The 14847-nt window shown below is 41.2% G+C and overlaps 1 protein-coding gene across 6 annotated transcripts in view, besides 1 other annotated feature; it reads left to right on the top strand.

Annotated features, from left to right (window-relative positions):
• PRKN (parkin RBR E3 ubiquitin protein ligase) overlaps positions 1 to 14847 on the top strand; it is a 1380350-nt gene that overhangs the window by 1106139 nt on the left and 259364 nt on the right. The window lies entirely within an intron of this gene.
• Positions 2497 to 2791: a silencer, noted in NCBI's record as "tiled region #5576; HepG2 Repressive non-DNase unmatched - State 12:CtcfO, and K562 Repressive DNase matched - State 12:CtcfO". NCBI's record gives its function as "represses a minimal TATA promoter and a strong SV40 promoter by Sharpr-MPRA in HepG2 and K562 cells {active_cell/tissue: HepG2 | K562}" and the evidence as "EXISTENCE:reporter gene assay evidence [ECO:0000049][PMID:27701403]".

Here is a 14847-nt window from a genome sequence, read left to right as displayed (position 1 = left end):
AGAGGAGGTTGGGATGTGAGTCCAAGTGGATTGATTGGGGAAGGGGAAGATCAGCCCTTAATGTGGACGGGCCCCATTCAGGCTCCTGGGGGCCTATATAGAGGAAAAACAAAGGAAAACAAATTAGTTTCTCTTTACTGGAGCTGGGATACACTCTCCTCCTCCTGCCCTTGGACATCAGGACCCCAGGACCCCCAGCCTTGGGACTCAAGGACTTTCATCAGCACCCAACCCCCACCAGCCTCAGACTGAGAATTACACTATCAGCTTCTCTGGTTCCAAGGTTTTGGGATTTGGACTGAGCCACACGACCAGCATCCCAGGGTCTTCAGCTTGTAGATGGCCTGTCCTAGAACTTGTCAACCTCCATCATCACATGAGCCAATTCCTCTAAGAAATCTCCCCTCATATATGTATCTTTATCTACCTAAAGATCTATCCTATTGCTTCTGTCTCTCTGGAGAAGCCTGACTAATAGAGTGGCACATGACAGACAGCAAAACCCTGGCCCCTTTGAGCCTCTCCCCTGCACCCTCACCCAGGCTGTCAGGGGCATTGATGGTAAGCATCAACAGAAGAATGCAGAAACTCAAGTGAGCCCTTGAAGCACCGAACATAAAGGTGGACAGGAGGCACCTTGCCAGAATCCCCCTGGATAGTCATCGGAATTATACAGCCTATCCTCCATCTCACTGCCTTCCATGGTGACCATTTCCTGGTTGAGAATCTTTGTTGAAATGAAAGAGATGTGCTGATAAAAGAAAAAGATGGGGAAACTTCTCTGTAAACCAAAGACACGTTGTCTCTGGCCCAGTGCTTGCCAAGAAGAGCTTGAAGGTTTTTTAACATAGATGAATCAAAACAAAAATTTTCCTTCCATGACTGTAGGTTGTTCAAATATTCACGCATTGGATCCCTTAGTTACTATCCTGACCAATAATCTATGTAAACTCTAGAAGTTGGAGTCTTAAAGTTGAGAGGTAATCCTGTCCAGGAAATGTCGATGCAAAGTGGAGATTCGGATTCCTCTGATGTTCCTGTCTACACAGTGAGAGGTGATGCTAGTAGTGGTTTCTTCCCTCTTATCCCTGAATTCTGTCCTCCTTCCATTCCATGTGATACCTACATCCGACATAATTCCTATCAAACAAATCAATTCAGTGAGAGGAACTACCAAGGTTCAGGTCGAGAAATTTTACAGAATTCCTTAACGTCATTCATTTTCCTGAGAATGGCGAGGAAGAAGGTGTCTTGGGACAATGGGCTGTACAGCGTGGGAGTCAAGGATCTAAAGCCAACAGGACCAATGGAAATATAATGTGTACCAGCTGGGCACAGTGGCTCACACCTGTAATCCCAGCACTTTGGGAGGCCGAGGCGGGCGGATCACCTGAGGTCAGGAGTTCAAGACCAGCCTGGCCAACATGGTGAAACCCCATCTCTACTAAAAATACAAAAAAAAAAAAAAAATTAGCTGGGCATGGTGGCATATGCCTGTAGTCCCAGGTACTTCAGGAGGCTGAGGCAGGAGAATCGTTCAAATTCAGGAGGTGGAGGTTGCAGTGAGCTGAGATCACACCATTGCACTCCAGCCTGGGAGACAGAGCAAGACTCCATCTCCAAAAAAAAAAAAAAAAAAAAAAAAAGAATAATGTGTACCAATTATACAATTATAGAATTGTAAGCTTTCTAATAGCCACATTAAAGGTGAAGTTAATTTTAATAATATATTTTATATAACCTAATACATCCAAAATATTATAATTTTAACATGTAATCGATGTAAAAATTATTGAGATACTTTCTGATTTCACACAGAGTCTTCAAAATCCAGCATGTATTTCACAGTCCTCTCTCCATTCAGCATAGACGCACTGAAATAACCACTTGTGGCTTGCAGCTACCATATTGGAGGGTACAGTTCTAGACTCTGCTGTCTCAGAGACCCCAATTCAAGTCAAGGGCTACTGCTGCTTCATACCAAGTGTGACTGGATAAATTGCTCTCTCAGCCTCAGTTCTCTCATTTAGGAAATGGTAATAGTAATATTTCAGGGTCACTGTGAGATTTAAAATAAAACTATCTATACAAAGAGCTTAAACTGATACCAAGTAAGAACCCTGTAAATGTTAGTTATTGTTATATAGATATCATTATTACCAATTTTATCATATGAAAAGTTTATAGTGTAACAATTATTGATAGACCTATTGAAAAAAATAAAAAACTTCTGCTGTAACTACCATTACCTGGATATAGAACAGTAAAACAGGAAAGTAAGGAGAAGAAAAAAAAAAAAAAAGCAGCTTAGCAAATGACTTTCCCTATGGTGGCCTTAGCTACTCTGGGCATCGAGATTGCGTCACTCTTTTTTTTTTTTTTTTTTTAATGAAGACAGTTTTTGTAAAGGCTTGCTTTACAGGCTTGCCAAAAATTCTTGTGCCGGTGACCATATGTCTGTGAAACCAGGCAATCTGTGTCCTTGCTACCTTGTAGATCTTCAGCCTTTTTGTGATTAACAAAATGACCTTTCAGACCCGGCGGATTCAGAACCACTTCAGGCTCTGCCAGGACTTTCTGTCTCTTCCAAGTGAAGAGCATCTGCTGCCCTCTGCCGAAAACTGCTGCTACTGTGGCTCATTTTTCTATCACTTCTGCTTCACCAGAACCACTCAAGAATGAAGATGAATGCGAAGTCAGCTTGGCAGCTCCATGGCGCCCTTTGTGGTTTCTTGACCTGGTGGCTAAAATCCTTCCTCCAGTGAAAAACATTTTTAGTATCTTTAATTACACTTAGTGAAAGTAAGACACGAGTGCGGTTTTAATCTTCTAGATGGTCTTTTGGATTAAAATTAGATTTATACATTTGCATAATAAAAGTAATGTTGTGAAAGAAAGCAGTTTGAGTGTGTGAGAGATAATTGCATCTGTACAAGCTGTCTTGGGGCAGCTCTTATGGAACTGGGCTCAGCATTAGACATTATACCACTGTAGCATTTTGCATTTTTATGCGGCAGTGCAATAGAATTTGAATTTTATGCACAATTAGTCTTATATTGATGTATTGTTTGTAGGTAGGTTTGGGCATAATACTGAGAATAAACCTTTAGTTTAATTTTTTGGTATTTTTCTGGAAAAAGAAAAGTGAGAGAGAAAAGGAAAAGCTGGGGAAAAATTTGGGCAAGCAAAAAAAAATTTGGACATAGTCTTTTACCTTGAGAGAGTGTCTGTTGCATTCAAAGATTCTGTGGCTTTCCGGGCAAAACACAAAGTACTTCCCTTGTGCATTGCTTATTGAAGTTGTTCATATCCTGGGGCAACAAGGTCAGGAGAGGGAAAGGATTATCAAACCAAATAACTCCTTTTCTCAAAGCAGCAGTTGAAAAATGGGAGCTGTGCTTAGGGAATTAACGAGCATGGGATATAAAATAAAGTTCCACACCAAACACTTCATGTACGATAGGAAAAAAATATATGTTGCAGTTTGCTAGAACATGTGTAGTAAATCCAAAGTAACATTGATTAAGCAAATTGTCATGAACACAGAGTAGTTCTTATGATCATACATAATTCCAAGCTTCAGTGTGGAAGTGGAGAGGTACAGCACCCGTTTGGTGTCCCATACACTGGTTCTACCTGCACATTTTGGTCAGATTTAGGTGAGCCTTAAGGATTTTACTTTCTCACAGTCTTTTTCCTTTGTTGTAATTCATTGATGAGTACATTAAAGCATTTTCTAATAGACAAGGAATCTACCGATTTAACAGGAAGGCCCAGGCCATATCTTCCGATTGGCAGTTCTGGCACTGGCTTCCTGGGATTGTAATAGGTTGCCCCCCATCCCATGCCATTTCATATGTAAAACATGTTTGTACCTTCAAATCTATTGTATAATCTATTAGCTTATTCAAACCTCCACTTATGTTGGATATGAGAAACACCTAGCTAAAAAGAAATAAGAAAAAATATAAATACCACAAACCCATCTCACTAAAGTTTGTCATTATATTCCTCCCTGAAAACTCTGTGGTAATCACACAGTGTGCAAGTTCCTGGTCCCATACACTGTATGCTGGCTTTACAGTAATTGAGTCTAAAACCTCAATGAGTCTGTTTTAAAGGTATAGCGAAATGTAGATTGTTAATAACGGAGCAAGTACATTTTCTTCTCATCAGCATTTTCCTGATTTGCCAATGCAGTACTAAAAATATTTTAAGTACCAAAAGAAGCTTCTGCACACCTAAAGAAATTTATCGTCAGAGTGAACAGGCAGCCTACACAATGGGAGAAAATTTTTGCACTCTATCCATCTGACAAAGGGCTACTATCAAGAATCTACAAAGAACTTAAACAAATTTACAAGAAAAAATCAACCCCATCAAAAAGTGGGTGAAGGATATGAACAGACACTTCTCAAAAGAAGACATTTACGCGGCCAACAAGCATATGAAAAAAAGCTCATCATCACTGGTCATTGGAGAAATGAAATCAAAACCACAATGAGATACCATCTCACACCAATTAGAATGGTGATCATTAAAAAGTCAGGAAACAACAGATGCTGGAGAGGATGTGGAGAAATAGGAATGCTTTTACACTGATAGTGGAAGTGTAAATTAGTTCAACCATTGTGGAACACAGTGTGGCAATTCCTCAAGGATCTAGAACCAGAAATACCATTTGACCCAGCAATCTCATTACTGGGTATATACCCAAATGATTATAAATCATTTTACTGTAAAGACACATGCACACATATGTTTACTACAGCACTGTTCACAATAGCAAAGACTTGGAACCAACCCAAATGCCCATCAATGATAGACTGGATAAAGCAAATGTGACACATATACACCATGGAATACTTTGCAGCCTTAAGGGGGTGAGTTCATGTCCTTTGCAGGGACATGGATGAAGCTGGAAACCATCACTCTCAGCAAACTGACACAGGAACAGAAAACCAAACACCACATGTTCTCACTCGTAAGTGGGAGTTGAACAGTGAGAACATATGGATACAGGGAGGGGAACATCACACACTGGGGCCCGTTGGGTGGTGGGGGGCTAGGGGAGGGATAGCATTAGGAGAAATACCTAATGTAGGTGACGGGTTGATGGGTGCAGCAAACCACTATGGCATGTGTATATCTATGTAACGAACCTGCATGTTCTGCACATGTATCCCAGCACTTAAAGTATAATTAAAAAAAAAAAAAAGAACACATGGAAAAATGGGTGTGCACATCACTGGGGACATTTTATTTTTACACACTAATTTTCCCTTCAGCAGTCCTAATAGTGGTTTAAAGTTTAAAAGGGATGGGATGAGTCCGGCCCCTCCCCTTGCAGGGAGAGCAGGAGGCAAACCTGTTGTGTTGTGTTGCTTTCGCAAATGAAATACCTTTTACTCTGAGCTGCAAAGGCTACCAAATAAAGAAGCACACAGAGCTATGTGTCAGGAGGGAGTAAAAATGAACAGAGCAGGACAGGGAGTTCAGGCAAGTTGACAGGCCACACGAGAGTTCAGCAGAGCATCAAAGTCAGTGCATCAGCAGCAAGGGGTGGTAGCTAGGAGGAGGGCTGGGGAGAGAGAGCGGCCAGAAGAGAGACGGGAGACCCTGAGGGAGTCCTGGTGAGAAGTGTGTGTTACCATTCAGGCTATTGGAGGCCATAAGCAGCACGAACCCAACTACAGATGCTTACCCGAGAGAGGGTGATTTTCCTCACATAACAAAAAGGTCGGGGTACGTGGTCCTGGCATGGATTCATGATGTTGTGTGAAGGCAGCTCGTCTGCAGTTCTCTCCCCCTTTGCTTCATAGTCAGGTCCACGTTGCAGCCACTGCAGCCATCAGCTCCCCATTGCATGCAGGAGGAGAGGGAGGCAAAAGCTTCCTTAGGAACTCACTGCAGATTCTGCCCTGTGGCATTGCCACGGTTGTATCACATGACCCCCTTTATGGAAAGAGAGCAAGGCATGGGGCCGGAGCAAGGGTCCTGGCAGCCCACGTTGCTGCCACAGCCTTTGGCTGGCTGGCTGTTTGCCGGTGCTTGTGGCTATTGTAACATAGTTGGATGCATTGGTAGTTTAGTGGTCATTCAGGAATCCTGAAATTTCATTCTTCTCTTCATCGACACTCTGCTGTTTTTTCCTAGCTAAAATTTGGAGCTGAGTTTTATGAGAACAGCCATGAAAGTATTGACATATTTATACCCTGAGTATTTCTCTAGACCAGATATTTAACTTTCACTGAAATAAAAAATATTTTCAATCTCTCTAAATTCTACCAACTTTTTATTGGTCCTTAATATTAATAATAGCTTTGGGGTTATTGTAAAAGTGTGGATGAGGAGATGAAGGGAGGGTTAGGGGGCAGCAGAAAGGCAGCCTAGAAGCCCCAAAATAACACAAAAGGCATCTAGCTGTTTCAAGACCCCTCTCTATATGCTTATCATCTCATTAAAAGAAAAATGTGTAGGTTGGTGCAAAAGAAATTACAGTTTTTGCTATTAAAAGTAATGGAAAAAATTGCAATAACTTTTGCATCAACCTAATATTTTTGCATCTTCATTCTTCAAAGGACCTATCAGACTCCAGCATCTCATAGAAATATACAGTTTCAGTGTTCTCTCTCTCTCTCTCTCTCTCTCTCTCTCTCTCTCTGTCTTCCTCTCCCAGAAAACTAAAAATAAGAAACTGCTGTTGTTGCCAAGGGGGATGGAAGGAGGAAATTCTGGGAGGTCAGCTTCAGTATCCACCTCCAAATAGACACAGTGGCTGCCTGCAGCCTGACATTTCAAGATTGATTAAGGGTGGGGGAAAGGAGAGTAATATTAAGCGAAGATTTTGTTTGAATTTCTGTAAATGTCATTTGATTTCTGCCACCTGTCAAAATTTCATGTATTAGTGGCACCAAATAGATTTGTTTTTATAAAACTAGACATTCCCACTGTAGTGTCTATACATATATGTGAAACAATATCAACTATTTAAATGTCTGTATTAAATAACTGATAAGAAGTCTTAGACACCTACTATACCAGAAATATTGAGAAATACAATCTCAACATAGTCTAGATTTCAGTCCGGTGGTGCACTTCTAAATAGATATTACCATAGCCTTCTGATGGCATACATTTGCACATGTGCTTACTAATGCAAGGCATGCTAAAAGATGTTTTAAAGCCTTTTCTAGCTTTGTTTAAATTATGTTTGTCTCAAATCTGTTTCTCTTTGTTGTTGTTGAGTTGCTTAATAGAGCCCTCTTTGGTCCTCAGTGAATTGGTTTAAAATAATGTCTCCATCACTAAAAATATTTATTGTGGTAGGCAGAATTGTAAAGAGGGTCCTCCAAGATTCTGTCCTCTAGTTATGCCATTAAACACGAATGCAGCTACAGCTATAAAGGTCACAGACCTCAAATAGGGAGGCTCTCCAAACTCACCCCTGGAGACCTTAAAAGCAACCAGAGAGATGTGGCTGAAGAGAAAGGTGGAGGCATGCATAGAGATGGAGGGGAAGCAGGAGAAGCTTTTGAGACACCCCTGCTGGCTGTGAAGCAGGCAGGGAGTACAGGTGCCTCCAGGTAGACAGCAAGGAAAAGGGACCTCAATCCTACATCCCTACAAAACTGAAATTTGCTACAACTTGAATGAGCTTGAAAGCAGGTTCTTCTCCAGAGCCCCACAGAGCAGTGCTGGACTTTGATCTTGGCCTTTGGGATTCTGGGCAGAGGAGAAGCTGAGCTACGCTGTGCCCGGACTTCTGAACCACAGAAACTATGAGATAAATGGATATTGTTTTAAGCTGGTTTTATGGTGATTTATTATAATGGCAGTAGAAAATGAATACTGACATACCTCAGAGATATTGCAGATTCAGTTCCAGCCCACTGCAATAAAGCAAATCCTTATCTTTTTGCTGGGAGAGGGTCTTACCTTCATGTTGATGGCTGCTGACTGATCAGGGTTGCGGCTGCTGAAGCTTGACGTGGCTGTGGCAATTTCTAAGACAACGGTGATGTTTGCCACATCACTGGACTCTTTTTTCATGAAAGATGTCTCTGTAGCATGTGATGCTGTTTGATAGCATTTTACCCACAGTAGAACAACTTTCAAAATTGGAGTCGATCCTCTCAAACTTTCTCAAAGCTACTGCTTGATCAACTAAGTTTATGTAATTTTCAAAATCCTTTATTGTCATTTCAACAATGTTCCCAGTGTCTTCACCAGAAGTAGATTCCAACTTAAAAAAAAAAAATCTTTGCGCATCCATAAGAAGCAACTCCTGATCAGTTCATGTTTTATCATGAGATTGCTGCAATTGAGTCACATCTTCAGGCTCCACTTGTATTTCCAGTTCTTCTGTGGTTTCCAATACATCTGAGTTATTTCCTACATTGAAGTCTTGAAGCCCTCAGAGTCATCCAGGAGGGATGAAATTGACTTCCTCCAAACTCCTGTTATGTTGATATTTTGACCTTCTACAAATCATGAATGTTCTTAATGGCATCTAGAATGGTGAATCCTTTCCAGAAGGTTTTCAGTGTACTTTGCCCAGATCCATCAGAGGACTTTTTATGGCAGCTATTTCCTTATGAAATATATTTCTTAATAAGACTCAAAAGTTGAAATTATCCCTTCATCTGTTGTGTTAGCAGGCATGAAAACATTCACCTCCTTGGACATCTCCATCAGAGCTCTTGGGTAACCAGGTCCATTGTCATTGAGCAGTAATATTTTGAAAGGAATATTTCTTTCTGAGCAGTAGGTCTCAACAGTGGGCTTAAAATATTCATTAAACCATGTGCATCTGTAAACAAATGTGCTCTCATCCTGTCTTTGCCATTCCATTTATAGAGCACAGTCAGAGATTTCACATAATTCTTTTTTTTTTTTTTTTTTTTTTTGAGATGGAGTCTGACTGTCACCCAGGCTGGAGTGCAGCGGCATGATCTCAGCTCACTGCAACCTCTGCCTCCCAGGTTCAAGCAATTCTCCTGCCTCGGCCTCCTGAGTAGCTGGGACTACAGGCTCACGCCACCACGCCTGGCTAATTTTTGTATTTTTAGTAGAGAGGGGGTTTCACCATGTTGGCCAGGCTGGTCGTGAACTCCTGACTTCAAATGATCCACCTGCTTCGGCCTCCCAAAGTGCTGGAATTATGGGTGTGAGCCACCGCGCCTGGCTGATATCACATAATTCTTAAGGGCCCTAGCATTTTTGGAATGGTAAATGAGCATTGGTTTCTACTTAAAGTCACCAGCTATATTAGCTCCTAAGGAGAATCAGCCTGTCATTTGAAGCTTTGAAGCCAGTCATTGACTTCTCCATGACATCTTCTTCCAATAGAAGGCTCTTTCATCTACATTGAAAACCTGTGGTTTAGTGTAGCCACCTTCATCAATGATCTTAGCTAGATCTTCTGGATGACTTGCTGCGGTTTCTATATCAGCACTTGCTGCTTCACCTTGCACTTTATGTGATGGAGGTGGCTTCTTTCCTTAAGCTTCATGAGCCAACCTCTCATAGTTTCAAACTTTTGTTATGCAGCTTCCTCACCTCTCTCAGCCTTCATAGAATTGAAGAGAGGGCCTTGCTCTGGATTATGCTTTGGCTTAATGGAGTATTGTGATTGGTTTAATCTCCTATCCAGAACACTCAAACTTTCTCCATATCAGCAATAAGGCTGTTTGCTTTCTTATCATTTGTGTGTTCACAGGAGTAGCATTTTAAATGTCCTTCAATAGCTCCTGGTTTGCATTCCCAGTTCACAGCTTGGCTAGCTGTTTGGTGCAAGAGATCTAGAACTTGACATGCCTTCCTCACCAAGCTTAATCATTTCTAGTTTTTGATTTAAAGTAGAAGTTGTGTGACTCTTCCTTTCACTTGAACACTTGGAGGCCATTGTAGGTTTATTAATTGGCCTAACTTAAATTGTTATGACTCAGGGAATAAGGAGGCCTGAGGAGAAGGGGCAAGACAGGGGAAGGTCTGGTTAGTGGAGCAGTCAGAACACACACAACACTTTACCAGTTCAGTCCACCCTCTTATGTGGGCACATTTCATGGTGCTCCCAAACAATCACAATGGTAACATCCAAGATCACTGATCACAGGTCACCATAACAAATATGATGATGACAAAAAAGTTTGAAATAGTGTGAGAATTACCAAAAATGGACAGAGACTGAAAGTGAGCACACACTGTTGGGAAAATGGCATCAACAGACTTGCTCGATGCAGGGTTGCCATAAACCTTCAATGCGTAAAAACTGCAGCATCTGTAAAATGCAGTGAAGTGACACACAAGAAGAAGAGGTGTGCCTGTGCTGTAAGAGAGAAGTAAGTTCTAGACCCACAGATTTTGGGTGAAGCTCAAGCTCGCCCTGCATATACGCACATAGACTCACATTATTTCCACGCCTGGTGGTTCCATTGATCATCTTTCCATCACATCTTTTTTAACAGCCCTAATTAATAGATTTTATGTACTCAATTATTCATTGGGATTAACTGAGTTGTAAAACCAGACAAAAACCACAGTGGCCCCTATATTTGGATGGCTTTAGACGTGAGAACAAGGCTTCAAGCTCCTGTTTCAGGGCATCGATAGTTTTCAGCTGCAAATCAGATCCTATCCCCGCCCTCAAAATGCTCCAGTAACTGCCCTTTATAATTAGAATAAAATTCAAACAACTCTATCTGTGAGTGCCAGATTCCTCTCTACCTCTTCGGTGACACCTTGTGACCACCCCTCTCCTATCACAACCTCTGGCCACGTGGACGACCCTTCTTTCCAACACAAGCACCTTGGCTCTGCTATGGACACCCCGGCCAAGCCCAGGCCCCTCCTGGCATCCTCTTTCCTGGGCACTGTGCACAGCTGATAGCCTCCCCCAGACCTTCCTCCACATCCTCCCTGGACCACCCTGGCCCCATTGCCTCCCTGGTTTATTTGCTCCTCCTGTTCTACTTGTTACGGCACCCAATATCAAGCAACACAACATCCTGGGTTGTTTGAGGTGTTTATTTTCTCTTCTTCACTGTCATATCCCTGGTACTCCTCACAGTGCCTGGTCCATAGAGGTTCTTAAATTTGTGTGTGTGTGTGTGTGTGTGTGTGTGTGTGTGTGTATTATTAATATACATATACATTTTTCTTAGTTATATATTAATATATATTTATTGAATAAATTAATAAATAAGTGGGTCAATCAACCAACGAAATACCTGCCCTGTTTCTGTTTTGCCCGTAATTTTTAGAGGTACGTATTTTGGTGGTGCTGAAGGACCTTACAAAAGATAACTCCCTATGGGCAGCGTTCAGAAGCAGCTCGCGGACATCCCAGCTCCCGGCTTTGCCCCCAGAGTCAGAACCCACTTTCCCACCACAGGCCAGCTCCCATGCAACGCTGGGCAAGTTGCCCTCTTTGTGACACAGGGACAGTGTTAGTAATGATTCCTTAGTGCTTTTGGGATGAGTTGATGAAATAATTCAGTTTGAGTTCCTAGCATAGTGCTTGGCACATAATACAATTTATTAATATCTTTTTACATGAATAATGATAAAATAATTCTGCACTCTGAGTCATTGCCTCATTCAAAAAATTTTTTTTGCTTATTTTGTGAATCAAATGATGACCTTAAAAATATATCAATGACTTTTCTTTGTAAACTATGGGGAACAGTCTCATAGCTAATTATTCAAAACAATTCGACTCCTTTGAAGCTATTGGAAAAGCATTCTCCTTTCATGTGCTTCTGGTCCTCAGTGAAACAGCAGGTTCTTGGTGACTGGAGAACTCTAACCGTAGTCCAGCCCCCAGGCACTGCGACTCCCCAAGCTGAGTCCAGCACAGACCTCGCCCTGAATCTCCATGCCCAAAACCTGCCTGTTAGTAGATCTTCACTTGCAGTGTTTTCTTAGGGTTTTTTGTTTTGGTTTTGGTGGAATAGGGAAAAACAGGTTCTTAAAGGAAAGTTCATGTATTATCATCTCAGGCCCAGCTCAACTTTGCCAACCATCTGCCCGAAGCCCCATCTCCTAGAAGCTTTTCTGTTATTTAATTTCAATATTTCATCAAAGAAACCTCACATTTGTCATTTAGTGTTAAATATCTGTAAACTACTCACTTTCCTTATTCCTATAGAATCACTTTTCATTCTTTTGTAGTTTCACCAAATAGTTATTAAGATGCCATTGAACTAAAAAACAGTATCATTTTCTTCATCATCAAGAAAAAATAAAAAAACACTGTTAATGAACTCTGAAAGACTTTGTATCACTTCAAATTTCTCAGACTTATATTTAATACTTATCAAAAGTGCTCTTAGAGTAGAAATATATGAGACACTTTTTCATTATTTATCCCCCTTGTACATGTATAAAAAATTAAAAGTAAAATAGATTAAGATATTTTTAACACATTCAAAATGCAATCTCCTAGCTAGCTCACTTGCAGTGTCAGAATTATGGTTGTCCCATAATTGGACATATGGGACCTATGTCCCATAATTCAGAAACTATGGTTTCCAAATACCATGCTCTCAACAAGCAAGAGTGCTGAAGATGCTGCCCTTAGTTAAGGAGTGAGCAGCTACTGTCTTTGGAATTTTCTTCTAAGCTCCTGACAGCTATTCTGTATGTTTGACGGGCATGTGCAGGCAATGACAACTGTGACAACATTGCCACCTGGATGACAACCTAAGCTGCAGCCTAATTATAGTAATAATAATAAAATAAATCAGTGAAAGAGCCCAAGATGAATCTTAGGATAAAAAATTCTAGGCTGGGTATGGTGGCTCATGCCTGTAATCCTAGCACTTTGGGAGGCCGAGGCGGGTGGATCACTTGAGGTCAGGAATTCGAAACCAGCCTGGCCCACATGGTGAAACCCCATCTCTACTAAAAATTAAAAAAAAAAAAATTAGCCGGGCGTGGTGGCACACACCTGTAATCCCAGCTACGCTGGAGGCTGAGGCAGGAGAATCACTTGAACCTGGGAGGCAGAGATTGCAGTGAGCCAAGATCACGCCACTGCACTCCAGCCTGGGTGACAGAGAGAGACTCTGTCTAAAAAAAAAAAAATTAAATATAGTATGACTATCCAGCTATTTTTTTCTTACTTTAATTTTAACTACTATCTGCTAAATTCTAGCTATGAAAGATCAATGAAGGTTTAATGCTGTACACAACATGTGCCTGCAAACACACACACACATCCACACACACACCTCCTCTATTAAAAGCATTGTTCAGACTAGGTATTATAATTCCCTTTCTTATACAACTATTTTATTTTTCTTGGATTTAGTGATTGACTTGGTTTTTTCATTTGCTTGTTCACTTGGGTTTGGGTAAAGTCGTCATTAATTCAGCCCCAAACTTTCTAATAGAATTATAAATCTCTTAGTATAATCACGAAAAATCACATATCATTTTCTCCCCAATTTTTCCAATTGGAGACATGCATTCTGAGGTCCCACTCCTCCTGAGGCTGTCAGGACCCTCCAGCACAGCGGAGGGCACTGTCGTCCACATTGTCCCGAATGCCAGGTTTATTCTGCACTGATTTTTCTCTCTATTGTCCCCCCAACACTAGATCAATGGTTTGTCTGGGAATAGGGAAACCTAGGTAAGGCACTATTTTCTTTCAGAATGTTGAAGGCATTCTGTTCAAGCTTTCAGGGCTGGTGGCTGAAGTCCAAGGCCATTCTGATTCTTGTTCCTGTTCTCCCCCAGCCCATCATCCATTTGCTCACTGTGACGGCTGTCCTTGGCTCAGGCCTTCCTCATTCATTGTTCTGGGCCTACTTATACAGTGGCTCCTTGAAGCCAGAAACCTATGACCTTCTATACTGGGAAACATCTTTGTATTTAATTATTTGATATTTTTCTCCACTTTATTTTCTCTTTCTGGGATTCCTACATCTTGGATATGAAACGTGTTAGGTCAATTCTTTGTTTTTCTTTCTTTAAATCTCCCATCTCCTGTTTCCCATTCCTCTACCTCTTTGCTCTTCTTTCAAAGAGATTTCTCCAAACTTGTTTTCCAAACTGACTAAATTTTTAAAATTTTCTGCCGTCATCATTTTAATATTTAAGACCGCTTCTTTTTCTCCAAATATTTTTTCTTTATACCATTATCTTATCTATTCAAAGAAATTGATTGTAGTTGAGTGTTTGTTGTGTTTGATTTTTTTAAGTCTTCTACTCTTCCCTAAATTGTTTTCTGTTTCCTTTTCAGTTTCTTGGAGTCTCTTACCTTTGGTACTGAAGACTTTCTCCAGATGTCTTGTCTTCATTTGCTTTTCATTCATACTTTTTTTAAAAGCATTTTAAAAAAACTGATTGGAAACCGTGTGCAAGGTCAGGCTTGTTAAATTCTGCATTTCACCTGAGTACCTGTAGTAGAGCAGTGAACAGGATGTGAGGAAGGGGCACACCTGCACCCAAACACTGGACTATTTCTAGGGTGGTAGGACTCCACAACTGCAGATAGAAAGTCTACAATAATGTCCTGCCCAGTGGTGGGGAGGTGTAGGGTTTTATTAAATCTGGATGCCGTCAGTCTGGAAGGGAGGCAGAACAAAGGGGTTGAGCTATCACCAATCAACATGCAGTCATCCATGTAATTCCCTGATTTCAATAAAGCCCCTCATCTCCCCCCCATGCTGTGCCAGGTGGCCTGAGCCCAGATCCACTCTGTAGGGCTACTCTGGGAAAAGAACATTTTGTCTTCAGCCTGGGGAAGCAGGGAAAGTTGCCAGCTTCATAGGCTGGGGGGTGGGATGCTGTCATCTTACTGCTCACTGTATGAGATTTTCAAGTACTTATTCTCATTTG

This window comes from Homo sapiens, chromosome 6 (assembly GCF_000001405.40).
Source record: "Homo sapiens chromosome 6, GRCh38.p14 Primary Assembly".
NCBI lineage: Eukaryota > Metazoa > Chordata > Mammalia > Primates > Hominidae > Homo > Homo sapiens.
Note: the sequence above shows the minus strand (reverse complement) of the source record. Positions and strands in the feature narration are given on the sequence as shown.